General features: G+C 39.2%; 1 annotated feature.

Annotated features, from left to right (window-relative positions):
• Window positions 2,145-2,924: an enhancer, noted in NCBI's record as "OCT4-NANOG-H3K27ac hESC enhancer chr9:118240508-118241287 (GRCh37/hg19 assembly coordinates)". NCBI's record gives its function as "activates a minimal SCP1, AML or CMV promoter by ChIP-STARR-seq in naive and primed H9 embryonic stem cells {active_cell/tissue: H9 hESC(naive and primed)}" and the evidence as "EXISTENCE:reporter gene assay evidence [ECO:0000049][PMID:30033119]".

Genomic DNA, 2,924 nt, shown 5'->3' with positions numbered 1-2,924 from the left:
TTCTCAGCTGGAAATTAAAAACAGGTCAATGACTACCCACCTCACAGTATTGTTTATGAGTTCAAATGCATGAGATGAAACATACAAGAGAACACATAGAAGTGGTATATAATAGTTTTCAATAAATTAGAGTTAAATCTAAATCATAAGCAGGGTCAACTATGTGTTAGAAATTATAACTGCTAGATCTTAGTCCCCAGAGATATCTAAACAGAAGTAGAATATGATTCCATATCAAAAATACTGCAGAAGAGATTTCTAAGTTGGGTTGAGCCACTAGATTATAAATTTCAAAGAAAGGATTCACCTAACTTTTCTCTTACATGATTTCCAGGACCCAGTTAGGTGTCTGTTATACTGTAGAAGTAATGGAGTAATGGTTAATTTCTTGTGTCAGCTTTAGTTGTTTTTTGTTGTTGTTGTTGTTGTTGTTTTGTTTTGTTTTTGTTTTTTTTTTTTTTTGAGACGGAGTTTCTCTCTTGTTGCCCAGACTGGAGTGCAATGACGCAGTCTCGGCTCACTGTAACCTCTACCTCCCAGGTTCCAACTATTCTCTTGCCTCAGCCTCCTGAGTAGCTGGGATTACAGGTACCTGCCACCACACCCAGCTAATTTTTGTATTTTTAGTAGAGACGGGGTTTCACCATGTTGGCCAGACTGGTCTCGAACCCCTGACCTTGTCATCAGCCAGCCTTGGCTTCTGGGATTACAGAAGCCGTGAGCCACCGCCCCCCAGCCTCTTGTGTCAACTTTATTGGGCCATGGGTTGGCCAGACATTTGGTCAAATATTATTCTGGGTGTGTCTGTGAGAATCTTTCTCTTTGAAATTAACATTTGAATTGGCAGAATGTGTAAAGAAGATTGCCCTCCCTAATGTGGGTAGCCCTAATCCAATCAGTTGAAGACCTGATTAGAACAAAAAGACTAAGGGAATTTCTCTTACCTGACTGCCTTCAGCTAAGAGCTATTCAATCTAATATTGGCTCATCTTTGTTCTCAAGCCTGCCAGCTTTCAGACTGGAATTTACAATATCAGCTCTAGTGGTTCTAGACCTTCAGAGTCGGATTGGGACTACTAGACCATTAACCTTCTTGGGTTTCCAGCTTGCTGACTGATAATCTAGGGACTTCTCAGCCTTCATAATCACAGGAGCCAACACTTTATAATAAGTCCTTTTAGATAGATTAGATATAGATACAGATATAGATTAGATACTATTGATTCTCTTTCTCTGAAAACCCTAGCAAATACGGTAAGCAATAAATTATTAGTAGAATGAATTAAAGTCTTCAATAATTTTTAATTTGATGTGATTGGCTTTCCTACCTCTTATTACTCTAAATTATTTTGTATTTTTCTTGAGCTAGCATTTTACTCTTTTCAAGACAAAATAAATGATTCAATTGTTCTGAAATCAACAGTTTTTGGTGTACGGATCTCCACTTCTTTTTTTTTAATGTTGTGCATAACTATCCTTTCAGAGAACAAACAACATTATAAAATAACAGTTCTCTTCTAAAGAAAGTGAACAGAAATCATCTCAAATCAACCATCCTGAAATTCTTTCTCAGAGGACACCTAATTCCTAGAGGAAGCTAACTTTGGTATATATTCTGTTGTTCTTTTTATTATGTGCTTCCATGTGAGCTTGGCAAGTACTTTTAGATATTCTATGAGTACAACTTAATCAATATGTTAATTTTCCACGTCCTTCAGAAGCTAGTCCTACCTTGAATGATACATATACATACCCTGTACTTCAAAACAGTGTGTTGAGAGGTAAAGGGTGTCCTGGTGCACTTCCCTGAGAGTAGATCTTTAGCATAAAAAATGTGGTGTGTATGCACTTATTCATGTAAGTAGAATACTATTCAGCCTTAAAGAAGAATGAAACCTGTGATTTGTGACAACATGGATGAGCTTGGAAAACATTATGGTAAATGAAATAAGCCAGGCACAAAAAGATACATACTACATGATTGCACTCATGTGGAATCTAAAAAAAAAAAAAATGATCTCATAGAAGAAGAGAGTAGAATGGTGGTTACCAGGGGCTGGACTAGTTGGCGGGGAGATGTTGGTCAAAGGATACAAAATTTCAGTTAGACAGGAGGAATAGATTCAAGGCATCCATTGTATAACATGATGACTATAGTTATTAATAGATTGTATTCTTGAAAAATCCTAAGAGAGTAGATCTAAAGTATTCTCACCATAAAAATGATAACTTTAATGCGCGTCTGTCTGAAGAAACCACCAAACAGGCTTTGTGTGAGCAATAAAGCTGTTTATTTCACCTGGGTGCAGGTGGGATGAGTCCGAAATGAGAGTCAGTGAAGGGAGATAAGGGTGGGGCCATTTTATAGGATTTGGGTAGGTAAAGGAAAATTACAGTCAAAGGGGGTTTGTTCTCTGGCGGGCAGGAGTGGGGGTCGCAAGGTGCTTAGTGGGGGTGCTTTCTGAGCCAGGATGAGCCAGGAAAAGGACTTTCACAAGGTAATGTCATCACTTAAGGCAAGGACCGGCCATTTACACTTCTTTTGTGGTGGAATGTCATCAGTTAAGGTGGGGCAGGGCATATTCACTTCTTTTGTGATTCTTCAGTTACTTCAGGCCATCTGGGTGTATGCGTGCAAGTCACAGGGGATGTGATGGCTTGGCTTGGGCTCAGAGGCCTGACATTCCTGCCTTCTTATATTAGTAAGAAAAATAAAACAAAATAGTGTTGAAGTGTTGGGGTGGCGAAAATTTTTGGGGGGTGGTATGGAGAGAGAATGGGTGATGTTTCTCAGGGCTGCTTTAAGCGGGATTAGGGGCGGCGTGGGAACCTAGAGTGGGAGAGATTAAGCTGAAGGGAGGTCTTGTGGTAAGGGGTGATATTGTGGGGTTGTTAGAAGAAACATTTGCCGTATAGAATGATTG

This window comes from Homo sapiens, chromosome 9 (assembly GCF_000001405.40).
Source record: "Homo sapiens chromosome 9, GRCh38.p14 Primary Assembly".
Lineage (NCBI taxonomy): Eukaryota > Metazoa > Chordata > Mammalia > Primates > Hominidae > Homo > Homo sapiens.
Note: the sequence above shows the minus strand (reverse complement) of the source record. Positions and strands in the feature narration are given on the sequence as shown.